This window comes from Homo sapiens, chromosome 17, assembly GCF_000001405.40.
Source record: "Homo sapiens chromosome 17, GRCh38.p14 Primary Assembly".
Lineage (NCBI taxonomy): Eukaryota > Metazoa > Chordata > Mammalia > Primates > Hominidae > Homo > Homo sapiens.
The window spans coordinates 18,935,833-18,949,152 of NC_000017.11; the positions used below are offsets into that span (position 1 = coordinate 18,935,833).

At 46.1% G+C, this 13,320-nt stretch overlaps 1 non-coding gene across 1 annotated transcript, besides 2 other annotated features; it reads left to right on the forward strand.

Annotated features, from left to right (window-relative positions):
• The first annotated feature begins 8,166 nt into the window (after nt 1-8,166).
• LOC124904114 (small nucleolar RNA MBII-202) lies at nt 8,167-8,241 on the forward strand. The gene has a single exon (XR_007065990.1). It is a non-coding gene; the product is annotated as a small nucleolar RNA MBII-202 (small nucleolar RNA).
• Nucleotides 11,416-12,029: an enhancer, noted in NCBI's record as "H3K27ac-H3K4me1 hESC enhancer chr17:18850561-18851174 (GRCh37/hg19 assembly coordinates)". NCBI's record gives its function as "activates a minimal SCP1, AML or CMV promoter by ChIP-STARR-seq in primed H9 embryonic stem cells {active_cell/tissue: H9 hESC(primed)}" and the evidence as "EXISTENCE:reporter gene assay evidence [ECO:0000049][PMID:30033119]".
• Nucleotides 12,030-12,643: an enhancer, noted in NCBI's record as "H3K4me1 hESC enhancer chr17:18851175-18851788 (GRCh37/hg19 assembly coordinates)". NCBI's record gives its function as "activates a minimal SCP1, AML or CMV promoter by ChIP-STARR-seq in primed H9 embryonic stem cells {active_cell/tissue: H9 hESC(primed)}" and the evidence as "EXISTENCE:reporter gene assay evidence [ECO:0000049][PMID:30033119]".

A 13,320-nucleotide genomic window follows, 5' to 3' on the forward strand; every position in this document is an offset into this window, starting at 1 on the left:
ATTTGAATAGGCATTCCCACAAAGAAAGATATACAAAAAGATATACAGGCTTGGCATGGTGGCTCATGCCTGTAATCCCAGCATTTTGAGAGGCTATGGGTGAATCACTTGATGCCCAGAATTCGAGACCAACCTGGCCAACGTGGAAAAGCCCGGTCTCTACTAAAAATACAAAAATTAGCCAAGCATGGTGGTGCACGCCTGTAATTCAAGCTACTCAATGGCTGAGACACAAGAATCGCTTGAACCCAGGAGGCAGAGGTTGTAGTGAGCTGAGATTATGCCAAGACACGACAACAGAGTGAGACTCAGTCTCAAAAAAAAAAAAAAAAAAAAAAGAACAAAAAGATATACAGGCATTCATACAAAAAATATATCTAAATGGAAAGATGCTCAACATCATTAGTCATTATAGATAGTACAAACAAAAACCACAATGAGTTACAACTTCATACCCATTTGAATGGTTATGCTACAAAACAAACAAAACCAGAAATAACAAGTGTTGGCACCACTTGCAGTGTTGCACACCTGTAGTCCCAACTACTCAGGAGGCTGAGGTGGGAGGATTACTTGAGCCCAGGAGTCTGAGACCAGCCTGGGCAACATAGTGAGACCCTGCCTTGTAAAACAAACAAACAAACAAAAACAAGTATTGGCAAGAATATGGAAAAATTGGAGCCTTCGTACATACACTGCTGGTGGAAAGGTAAAATGATGCAGCTGCTGTGGAAAACAGTCTGGCGGTTCCTCAAAAAGTTAAACATAAAATTACCAGATGACCCAGCAATTCTGCTCCTGGGTATATTCCAAAAAAAATTACAAACAGATACCCAAATAAGTACATGGACATACATGTTCAGATGCACTATTCACAATCACCAAATTGTGGAATCTCAAATGTCCATCAATGGATGAATAAACAAATCTTAGTATTTAATGCCTGTAATCCTAGTACTTTGAGAGGCCAACACGGGCAGATCACTTGAGGTCAGGAGTTTGAAACCAGCCTAGACAACATGGTTGAAACCTCATCTCTACCAAAAAAAAAAAAAAAAAATTAGCCAGGTGTGGTGGCACCAACCTGTAGTTCCAGCTACTTGGGAGGCTGAAATGGGAGAATCACTTGAACCTGGGAGGCGGAGGTTGCAGTGAGCCAAGATAGCACCACTGCACTCCAGCCTGAGCAACAGAGTGAGACCCTGTCTCAAAAAAACAAAACAAAACAAAACAAAAAACAGTATTTACATAGAATAAAAAGGAATAGATTACTGTATGAGTTACAACGTGCACAAGCTTCTAAAACATTATGCTAAGTGAAATTAACCTGACACAGAAGGTCACATATTGTGTGATTCCATTTATATAAAATATCCAGAATAGCCAAATCCATAAAAACAGAAAGCATATATGTAGTTATCAGGGGATGAGTAGATAGATATGTAGCTGATGTGTAGTTATCCAGGGCAGTGGTCCCCAGTCTTTTTGGCACCAGAGGCTGGTTTTATGGAAGACGACTTTTCCACAGATTGGGGCAAGGGGTTGGGGATGGTTTGGGGATGAAACTGCTCCACCTCAGGTATCAGGCATTAGATTCTCATAAGGAGTGTGCAACCTGGATCCCTCGCATGCACAGTTCACAATAGGGTTCTTGCTCCTATGAGAATCTAATGCTGCCACTGATCTGACAGGAGGTGGAGCTCAGGCAGTAATGATGGCTTGCCTGCCGCTCACCTCCTGCTGTGCGGCCCGTGGTCCTGGGGGTTGGGGACCCCTGATCCAGGGGATAGAGTGGGTTATAGGGAGAAACTTCTTTTCTTTTTTTTTTTTGAGATAGAGTTTTGCTCTGTTGCCCAGGCTGGAGTGCAGTGGTACAGTCTAGGCTCACTGCAACCTCTGCCTCCTGGGTTCAAGCAATTCTCCTGCCTCAGCCTCCCAAGTAACTGGGATGACAGGAGCATGCTACCACAACTGGCTAATTTTTTATATTTTTAGTAGAGACAGGGTTTCACCATAGTGGCCAGGCTGGTCTCAAACTCCTGACCTCGTGATCTGCCCACCTCAGGCTCCCAAAGTGCTGGGATTACAGGTGTGAGTCACCGCACCTAGCCAGGGAGAAACTTCTTAATAGGCACAGGATTTTCTCTTGGAGTGACAGAAATGTTTTGGAACTAGATAGAGGTGGTGAGTGCACAACATTGTGAATGCACTAAATGCCACTAAATTACTCACTTTTTATTTTATTATTTAGTTTTTGAGACAGGGTCTCACTGTCACCCAGGTTGGAGTGCAGTGATGCAATCACAGCTCGCTGCAGCCTCCACCTCCCAGGCTCAAGCGATCCTCCCTCCTCAGCCTCCCGAGTAGCTGGGACCACAGGCATGTGCCACCACGCCCAGCTAAGTTTTGTATTTTTAGTAGAGACAGGGTTTTGTCATATTGTCCGGCCTGGTCTCAAATTCCTGGGCTCAAGTGATCCTCCCGCCTCAGCTTCCCAAAGTGCTGGGATTATAGGTGTCAGCCACAGCGCCTGACTAAATTATTCACTTTAAAATGTTAATTTTATGTTTTGTGAATTTCTTCTTAGTAAATTTCAGTTCCACATGTAAAAAGCTTGGGAGTTGAAACTCCATCCTACAACAAGTAAAAAGCTCAACAAACTGAAAAATCAACTCTACTTTGTTAGAGCCATATGAGAAGTGAGGTCACAGGGCAAACCACTGCTCCCATAATCAGAGACAGAAATGCAAACATTGAGAACAATGTACAGAAGTCTTTATAGGAACCGGTGCCAGAGTTAGGAAACCTGAACTGTAATCAACAAATTGTTAGAGGCTAGGTGAGAACAAGTCTGAGAGTTAAAAACTTCAGGGGGACTCCCTCATATGAGGACCCCATACTTTTGTGAATTTTACCTTCTCAAGAAGAATCCCCTTGAGCTTCCAGCAGGGAGACGGAAATAGGAATCATTCTGAAAGCTTCAGAGCACTGTGCTCCTCTTGACAAACTCTGCCCTCAGGAGAAGCTAGTTAACCAGAGCCTAACATTCTGGGGTTTTATCAGAGCCTAACTGAACTAGGAGAAGGGTAAAACCTAATTCTAGTCAGCTCTAACTTTCCACGTGGGAGAAGAGAAATACTCAACTAAAGCTCACCCTAGCCAACCATGTGGGAGAAGGATAGTACCCAATCCCAGCCTACTCTCGCCATCCTTTCCTACCTAAGGGTAGAGAAGAAAATCTGAGAAAAGCTCGGTGACATTCACAGTCCAGTGGCACAGGGTCATCAGAAAAGACCTAATTGTAGGACCTCCCCCTACACCTCACCACCACATCACTAAAGGCCTATTTACGTAGCAGTTCCTTTTACCCAGTACATTACTTCCAGCTATCAAGAAAAAAATTACAGGGCATGTTAAAAAGCAAAGAACAGTTCAAAGAGACAGAGCAAGCATTAGAACCAGACCTGGCACAAGGGATGCTGAAATTATCAGATAGGGAATTTTTTTTTTTTTTTTTTTTGAGACAGAGTCTCACTCTGTCACCCAGGTTGGAGTGCAGTGGCGTGATCTCGGCTCACTGCAACCTCTGCCTCCTGGGTTCAAATGATTCTTGTGCCTCAGCCTCCCGAATAGCTGGGATTGCAGGCGTGTACCACTATGCCCAGTTAATTTTTGTATTTTTAGTAGAGATGGGGTTTCACCAAGTTGCCCAGGCTGATCTTGAACTCCTGGCCTCATGTGATCTGCCCACCTCTGCCACCCAAAGTGCTGGGATTACAGGTGTGAGTCACTGTGTCTGGCCAGACATGGAATTTTTTTTTTTTTTTTTTTAGACAGGGTCTTGCTCTGTCACCCAGGCTGAAGTGCAGTGGCATGATCTCGGCTCACCGCAGCATCCGCCTCCCAGGTTCAAGTGATTCTCCTGCCTTAGCTTCCTGAGTAGCCGGGATTATAAGTGTGCGACACCATGCCGGGCTAATTTTTGTATTTTTAGTAGAGACAGGTTTCACCATGTTGGCCAAGCTGGTCTCGAATGCCTGACCTCAGGTGATCTTCTGCCCGACTCAGCATCCCAAAGTGTTGGGATTACAGGCCTGAGCCACCATGCCCGGCCAAGGAATTTAAAACAACTAACTATGATTAAAATGCCAAGGGTTCTCGTTAAGCAGACAGCATGCAAGAACAGACGGGCAATGAAAGCAGAAAGGTGGAAATCTTAAGAACAATAAAAAAAATGCTACAGATAAAAACACTGTAACAGAAATGAAGAATGCCTTTGATAGACGTATGAGTAGTCTGAACATGACTAAGCAGAGAATCTCTGAGATTTAGAATATCTTCTTTTTTTTCTTTTGAGATGGAGTCTCACTCTGTCACCCAGGCTGGAGTGCAGCGGCACGATCTCGGCTCGCTGCAATCTCCGCCTCCCAGGCTCAAGCAATTCTCGCACCTCAGCTTCCCAAGTAGCTGGGATTACAGACGCGCGCTATCACGCCCAGCTGATTTTTGTATTTTTAGTAGAGACAGGGTTTCTCCATGTTGGTCAGGCTGGTCTCGAACTCCCGACCTCAGGTGATCCGCCCACCTCAGCCTCCCAAAGTGCTGGAATTACAGGTGTGAGCCACAGCGCCTGGCCTTGCTTTAGGATATCTTAATAGAAACCTCCAAAACTGAGAAGCAAAGAGAACAAAGACAAAAAAAAAAAAAAAAAAAAAAACACCAGAATATGTGGAGCAATTACAAAAGGTGTAACATACATGTAAATGGGAATAGCAGAAGGAAAAGAGAGACAGGAAGAGAAGAAATATTGGACTGCAAGTTTCCTCAAATCAGTGTCAGACACCAAACCACAGATCCAAGAAGGTCAAAGAACACTGAGCAGGATAAATGACAAATGAAACGAAACAAAAACTCTGCACATAAGTGTGACATTTTCAAACTACAGGAAATCAAAGATAAAGGAAAAATCCTGAAAGAAGTCAGAGGAAAAGAAAGAAATCTGAAAGAAGTCAGAGGAAAAAATCATGTTACCTATAGAGACGCAAAGATAAAAATTACATGTGTCTCCTCAGAAATCATGCAAGAAGGAAGAGTGGAGTGAAATATTTGAGTGTTGAGAGAAAAACACTACCAACCTAGAATTCTGTACGCTGTGAAAATATCCTTCAAATTTGAAGGAGAAATACTTTCTCGGACAAACAAAAATTGAGAGAATTTATTGCCAGTAGACCTGTCTTGTAATAAATAAATTCTTTTTTTTCTTTTTCTTTTTTTTGAGACAGGGTCACACTACTCTGTTGCCCAGGCTAGAGTGCAGTGGCACGATCTTGGCTCACTGCAGCTTCCGCCTCCTGGGCTCAAGGATCCTTCCACCTCAGCCTCCTGAATAGCTGAGACTACAGGCACTTGCCACGGCGCCTGGCTAATTTTTTTTGTATTTTTTGTGGAGACAGGGTTTCTCCGTGTTGCCCAGGTTGGTCTCAAACTCCTGTGCTCAAGCAATCCACCCGTCTTGGCCTCCCAAAGTGCTGGGATTATAGGTGTAAACCACCGTGCCTGGCCATCAATTTTTTTAAGGAAAGGAGGAAAACAATACAGATCAGAAATTTGGATCTACATAAAGAAAGAAAGAACATGAAAGAAGGAATAAGTTCACATGACTTGAGCTTGTAGCTATGTCTTCTGCACAGATTGGGTAATGGAACACTAAATTTTTTTTTGAGGGGGGACGGAGTCTGGCTCTGTCCCCCCAGGCTGGAGTGCAGTGGCGCAATCTCGGCTGACTGCAAGCTCCGTTTCCTGGGTTCACGCCATTCTCCTGCCTCAGCCTCCCGAGTAGCTGGGACAACAGGCACCTGCCACCACCCCCAGCTAATTTTTTTGTATTTTTAGTAGAGACAGGGTTTCACCATGTTAGCCAGGATGGTCTCGATCTCCTGACCTTGTGATCTGCCCACCTCGGCCGATGGAACACTAAATTTTTATACTTGAAAATGACAGCCTAGGAGAATCGCGTGAACCTGGGAGGCAGAGGTTGCAGTGAGCTGAGACTGCACCATTGCACTCTAGCCTGGGGAACAAGAACGAAACTTCGTCCCCAAAAAAAAACAAAATCAAAATCAAAAACAAAACAAAACAACAACAAAATAAAACACAATAGAGAGCCTAGAAATATACCCACATAAATATAGTCAATTGATCTTCTACAAAAGAGAAAAGGTAGTACAATGGAGAAAAGTGTTTCTAACAAATGGTGCTGGAACAACTGGACATCCACATACAAAAAAAAAAGATGAACCATAGACCTTACACTTTTCACAAAAGTTAACTCAAAATGGACCTAAATGTAAAACACAAATTGTAAAACTTTTGGAAGACAACATAGGAGAAAATCTAGATGAATTTGGATTTGGTGATGCTTTTCAGATACAACATCAAAGCCACAACTGATAAAGGAAAGAATTGATAAGCTGGACCTCATAAATTTAAACATTTCCGATCCGCAGCCGGGCATGGTGGCTGATGCCTGTAATCCCAGCACTTTGGGAGGCTGAGGTGGGTGGATCACCTGAGCTCAGGAGTTTGAGATCAGCCTGGGCAACAAGGAAAAACACTGTCTCTACCAAAGATATGAAAAAAAAAAATTAGCTGGGCATGGTGGTGCATGCCTGTGGTCCCAGCTACCTAGGGGTGCTGATGTGGGAGGATGGCTTCAGCTAGGGAGGAAGAGGTTACAGTGAGCCGAGATTGAGCCACTGCACTTCAACCCTGGTGACAGAGTGAGACCCCATCTCAAAAAAAAAAAAAAAAAAATTCTGCTCTGCAAAAGACAGTGTCAAGAGAATGAAAAGACACAGACTGGGAGAAAATAGTTCCCAAAGACATATCTGATAAAGAAGTGTTGTTCAAAATATAGAAAGAACTGGCCACGTGCTGCGGCTCATGCCTGTAATCCCAGCACTTTGGGAGGCCGAGGCAGGCAGATCACGAGGTCAGGAGATCGAGACCATCCTGGCTAACACGGTGAAACCCCATCTCTACTGAAAATATAAAAAATTAGCTGGGCGTGGTGGCAGGCGCCTGTAGTCCCAGCTACTTGGGAGGCTGAGGTAGAAGGATTGCTTGAGCCCAGGAGGTGCAGGTTGCAGTGAGCTGAGATCACATCACTGCACTCCAGCCTGGGCAACAGAGCAGGACCCTGTCAAAAAACCAAAACAACAATAACAAAGCAAAAGAAAAAAAATTAAATAAGAAAACAATTTTAAAATGTGTGAAAGATCTGATCAGACATATCATCGAATAAAATATAAAGATGGCAGATAAGCATGTGAGATGCTCAACATTATATGTCATCATGGAATTGCAAATTCAAACAACAGAGAGACACCACCGCAAGCCCATTAGAGTGGCCAAAATCCAGAACACTGACAACGCCAAATGCTGGGGAGGATGTGGAGCAACAGGAACTCTCATTCATTGCTGGTGGGAATGCAAAATGGTATAGCTACTTTGTTGTTGTTGTTGTTGTTGTTGTTGTTTTGAGACAGAGTCTCACTCTGTAGCCCAGGCTGAAGTGCAGTGGCACGATCTTGCTCATTGCTACCTCTGCCTCCCGGGTCCTGGTTCAAGCAATTCTGCCTCAGCGTCCTGAGTAGCTGGGATTACAGGCATGTGCCACCATGCCCAGCTAATTTTTGTATTTTTAGTAGAGAAGAGGTTTCACCATCTTGGCCAGGCTGGTCTCCAACTCCCGACCTCAGGTGATCCACCTGCCTTGGCCTCCCAAAGTGCTGGGATTACAGGAGTGAGCCACCGCACCGGCCTGTTGTTTTTTGTTTGTTTGTTTGTTTTTTGAGACGGAGTCTTGCTCTGTCGCCCAGGCTGGAATGCAGTGGCGCAATCTCAGCTCACTGCAACCTCCACCTTCTGGATTCAAATGATTCTTGTGCCTCAGTCTCCTGAGTAACTACGACTACAGGCTCGTGCCCCAGGCCCAGCTAATTTTTGTATTTTTAGTAGAGACAGGGTTTCTCCATGTTGATCAGGCCGGTCTTAAACTCCTGACCTCAGGTGATCCTCCCACTTCAGCCTCCCAAAGTGCTGGGATTACAGGCGTGAGCCACCGCGCCTGGCCGGTATAGCTACTTTGGAAGACAGTTTGGAAGTTTCTTACAAATCTAAATGTGCTTTGATGCAAGTATATTTGAATCCCTTTCCATCTGATAACTGAGCAAAATAATAATTTTTTAAAAAGCATAAAAACTAAGCTTACACTTACCATATGATTCAGCAGTTACTCTTGAGTATTTATTCAAAGGAGTTGAAAACTTACGTCCACACAAAAACCTGTGCATGGATGTTTACTCATTATGAATTCAGCTTTATTCATAATTACCAAAACTTTGGTAGATGTCCTTAAGTAGGTGAATGAATAAATAAATCATAGTATCTAGATAATGGAATATTATTCAGTGCTAAAAAGAAATGAGCTACCAAGCCATGAACACATGGAGGAAACAGAAATACAGATGACTAAGTCAAAGAAGCCTTTTGAAAAGGCTACAAAGTGTTTGATTACAGCTATATGACATTTTGGAAAAGGCAAAACCGTGGGAACAGAAAATGATCAGTGGTTGCCAAGGGTTAGGGAGGAGAGAGGGAAGGATAGGGAGAATGCAGGCGACTTTTAGGGCAGTGAAACTACTCTGTATGACATTATAGTGGTGGATGCATGTCAGTATATGTTTATCCAAACACATAGAATACAACACCAAGCGTGAACCCTAATGTAATGTATGTGCTTTGGGAGATGTATCAATGCAGGCTCATCAGTTGTAACAAGCATAACAACTTTTGGTTGGGGATTTTGATAATGGCAGTGGCTATGCATGTGTGGGTCAGGATATTTCTCTACCAAGGAAGGTAGACATACCTTCAACAGCCAACAATTACATGAAAAGATGTTCAACATTACTAGTCCTTAGGGAAATGCAAATCAAAACCACAATGAAATGCTACTTCACGCCTACTAGGACGGCTATCATAATAATGTCAAAATGCAGCCTGGGCAACACAGTGAAACTCCATCTCTACCAGAAATACAAAAATTAGCTGCGTGTGTGACATGCACGTGTGGTCCCAGCTACTTGGTGGGCTGAGGCAAGAGGATCCCTTGAGCCCAGGAGGCAGAAGTTGCAGTGAGTCCAGATCGTGCCACTGCACTCCAGCCTGGGCTGTAAAGTAAAACTCTGACTGAAAAAAAAAATGTAAAAATGGACAATAACAAGTGTTCATGAGAATGTGGAGAAACTGGGGGTCTAGTGCGTTGCTGGTGGGAATGTAAAATGGTGCAGCTCTTCTGGAAGACAGTTTGGCCAATCCTCAAAGTTTAACATAGAATACCACCCAGCAATTCCACTCATAAATATATGCCCAAAGGAATTGAAAGTAGGGCTTCTTTCAAAGTACTATTAGAAGTAAAAAAAGAAAAAAATTGGCTGGGTGAGGTGGCTCACATCCGTAATTCCAGCACTGTGGGAGGCTGGGGTGGTGGAGCACTTGGGGATAGGAGTTTGAGACCAGCCTGGCCAACCTGACAAAACCCTGTCTCTACTCAAAATACAGAATTTAGCCTGTAATCCCAGCCACTTGGGAGTCTGAGGCATGAGAATCACCTGAGCCCGGGAGGTGGAGGTTGGTTGCTGTGAGCCTAGACTGCGCTCCTGCACTCCAGCCTAGGTGACAGAGTGAGATTCTGTCTCAAAAACAAAACAAAACAAAAACAAATGTTTTTAATTTTAAAAAATTTTAAAAAGGAAGCAGGGTCTCAAAGAGATACTTTCACCTCAATGTTCATAGCAACTTTATTCACAATAGACAAAAGGTAGAAAAAACTCAGATGTCCATCCAACCGACGAATGGATAAACGAACTATGGCATACACATACAGTTGACAATTATTCAGTGAGAAGACAGAGCGAAGCGCCGACATGCACTACAACATGGATGAACCGTGAAAACATCCTCAGCGAAAGCACTCAGACACAAAAGACCATGTATCGTGTGATGCCACTTACATAATACACCTGTTTTGGAAAAATTTCCCAACCGGGTTTTACCTTTGCTCTCACACTGCAACAAACGCAGAAGATTTCTGTGACCAAATGTGGGGACATCTCCCCATCAATAGACAAGCAATCAGTTCTGCAGTAGACACCAGCAAGGTGCCCTCCAATTCAATTCCAACACTATCTACCCAGGGTGAGGGCTCAGTTCCCAAGGCTGACTCTTCCTTTCCCACCAGTCCAGACCTCTGGAACTTCTGACCCACAAGCTTCAAGTTGGGTTCCCACGATCGACCCCCTTTGGATTCAATTAATTTGCTAGAGCGGCTCACAGAACTCAGGGAAACACTTACTTAGGAGGCTTACTGGTTTATTGTGAAGGGCATTTTAAAGGATACAAAGAAACAGCCAGATGAAGAGAGACACAGGGTGACATCTGGAAGGGTCCTGAGCACAGGAGCTTCTGTTCCTGCAGTTGGGGAGTGCCACCCTCCCAGGACAGGGATGAGTTCTTTTTCACCTTCCTGCCACCCTCCCAGGACAGGGATGAGTTCTTTTTCACCTTCCTGCCACCCTCCCAGGACAGGGATGAGTTCTTTTTCACCTTCCTGCCTGCCTCCACGTGTTCAGCCATCTGGCAGCTCTCTGGACCTAGTCCTCCTGGGTTTTATGAAAGCTTCTTGAGATCAGCATTCCTTCCCCCAGGGTGTGGGGCAGGACCCTCTCTGGAATGAGGATGATGTGACCCACAATTAGAAAGACAGGGGAAGATTAGAGGCCGCCTTGGGGCAGGTGAGAGGAGGCAGGAGAAGGTCAGAGAGATTCTGTTTCCTGAGGCCTGACATGCCAGATGTGATAACAACAGAATGCAGCAAGGGCTGTGGAGTTGAGTCAGGAACCCAGGGTGGAAACCTGTGTGTATACATAACACCACGACACCAGAGAAGGCAACTCCTACATACCTATGATACCACAACACCAGAGAAGGCAAATCCACAAAGAGGGAAAGTAGATTGGTGGCTGCCAGAGGCTTGGGGAGGGGGAATGAAGATGATGCTTAATTTGTACAAGGTTTCATTGGAGAGGATGAAAAATGCTGGAATAGGCTGGGCGCAGTGGCTCATGCCTGTAATCCCAGCACTCTGGGAGGCTGAGGTTGGTGGATCACCTGAGGTCAGGAGTTCAAGACCAGCCTGACCAACACGGTGAAACCCCGTCTCTATTAAAAATACAAAAATTAGCCAGGCGTGGTGGTGCGTGCCTGTTATTCCAGCTACTCGGGAGGCTGAGGCAGGAGAATTGCTTGAACCCAGGAGGCAAATGTTGCAGTGAGTCGAGATTGCGCCACTGCACTCCAGTCTGGGTGACAAAGCAAAACTCTGTCTCAGAAAAAAAAAAAAGAAAAGAAAAATGTTGGAATAGGTAATGGCGATGGGTGCATAGTGTTGTGAAGGTGGTGGAAACCACAGACTGGTGTACTTTAAGGGGTTAAAATGATGGATTTTATGTTAAATGCATTCTCCCTCAATAATGATAAAAAAAGAATAGGTTTCTGGGATTGAAGGGCCTCAGGGGCCTCAGCATCTGAAGATTCCTCAGTTGCCTGGGCTCCTTGGACCTCTTGCAGTGATGTGGCAAGGGTAGACCCTGTGCCGGTCACTGGAGGAGCGGGGTGACGGGTGGGTGGGGGCAGATACTACTGTGTCGTGTGGCAGCACAGCCACTAGCCCAGCAGGGCCAGGGATGCACAGAAGAGGGAGGAGCCAAGGAAGGCTTCAGAGAGGCAGTGATGTCTCAGTACCGTCTTGAAGGATGAGTAGCAGTTCACCAAGCAGACTGAGAGGTAGGGGGACTTGAGGACACCCAGGGAGGAACTGAGGGCAGCAGAAGATGGAGCTGGGTCGGGGGAGGGCCAGGTTCCAGGGCCCCTGGTGCCGAGCCCAAGGCCTTGCACTTGATCTCTGGAGCAGTAAAGGCTGTTGAAGGTAAGTTTGAAACAGGAGTGTCATGTCCAGGGTTAGGCTTTTAGGGTGTTCTGACATACTGTGCGTGGTGAGTAGATTCAAAAGGATAAGACTGGAGGCCAGGGATCAGTCCCTCCCCACCTGTGCTGGACGCCTGGTCTGCATCGGTTCCATTACCTCCCAGCAGCCCTTCCCGGCTGCCTTCACTTCCCTTCCACTCTGCTGCTCTGCCGGCTGAGCTCAGGGTCCTCCCATCCAGGTGCCCACTCAACCACTCCCTTCGAGGGCCTGAGGCTTAACAGTCCAACCTCCATCACTCCCTGCACAAACCCAACCTCACCCAAAGCTCAGTGGGCTTGGCTGGGACCCCAGGGGAGGAGGGGGGTCATTCCTTCCCACTGAATACCTGTCACGAGCCATGCTGGGTGGTGGAGTTTAATGTTAAAAGGGCAGATTCGAGAGCTGGACAATTTGGGTTCAAAGTCCTCCTCTGTCTCTTAGTTGCTGTGTGACTTTGAGCAAGTTCCTCTGTTTCTCTGTGCCTCGGATTTTCCATCCCTCAAGGAGTTGGGAGAGTTGAGGGTGGACGATGCGTGGGCACATGGTGACTGCTCGGTAGGTGTCTGTAACCATGGTAAAGATGAAGCTGTGGGCTGGCCCCTGGGGTCCCAGCCGAGCCCACTGAGCTTTGGGGAGGGTGGGTTTGGGTGGGGAGTGATGGAGGGTGGACTCTCAAACCTGAAGCCCTCAAGGGGAGTGGTCAAGAGGGTACCTGGATGAGAGAATGCAGCGCTCGGCCAGCAGAGCAGCGGAGTGGAGGGAAGTGAAGGCCGCCTGGAAGGGCTGCGGGGAGGTGACCAACCAATGCAGATGCAGGTACCCAGCACAGGTGGGCAGGTGAGCATTCAGGAAATGGTTGTCTGGGACCCACCACCCTTCACAAAGCACCTGGCAACACTCTCCTTGAGCCTCTGTATCAGTGGAAGGAAACTGCTTGACCTGGCTGGTGAGGGGAGCCCAGGCAGGGTCGGGGGCACCCCTAGGGGCCAGCTTGCTGGTCTAAACCAAGGCCAAGGCCAGAGGTCTTACAAAAAAGCCCAGCCCACACCAAAGCATAAAAAGTGATAACTTGGGCCGGACACAGTGGCTTACGCCTGTAATCCCAGCACTTTGGAAGGCTGCTTGAGCCCAGGAGTTTGACAACAGCCTGGGCAACATGGTGAGACCCTGTCGCTATAAAAAAATACCCACAAAACTTTGCTGGCTATGGTGGTGCATGCCTGTAGTCCCAG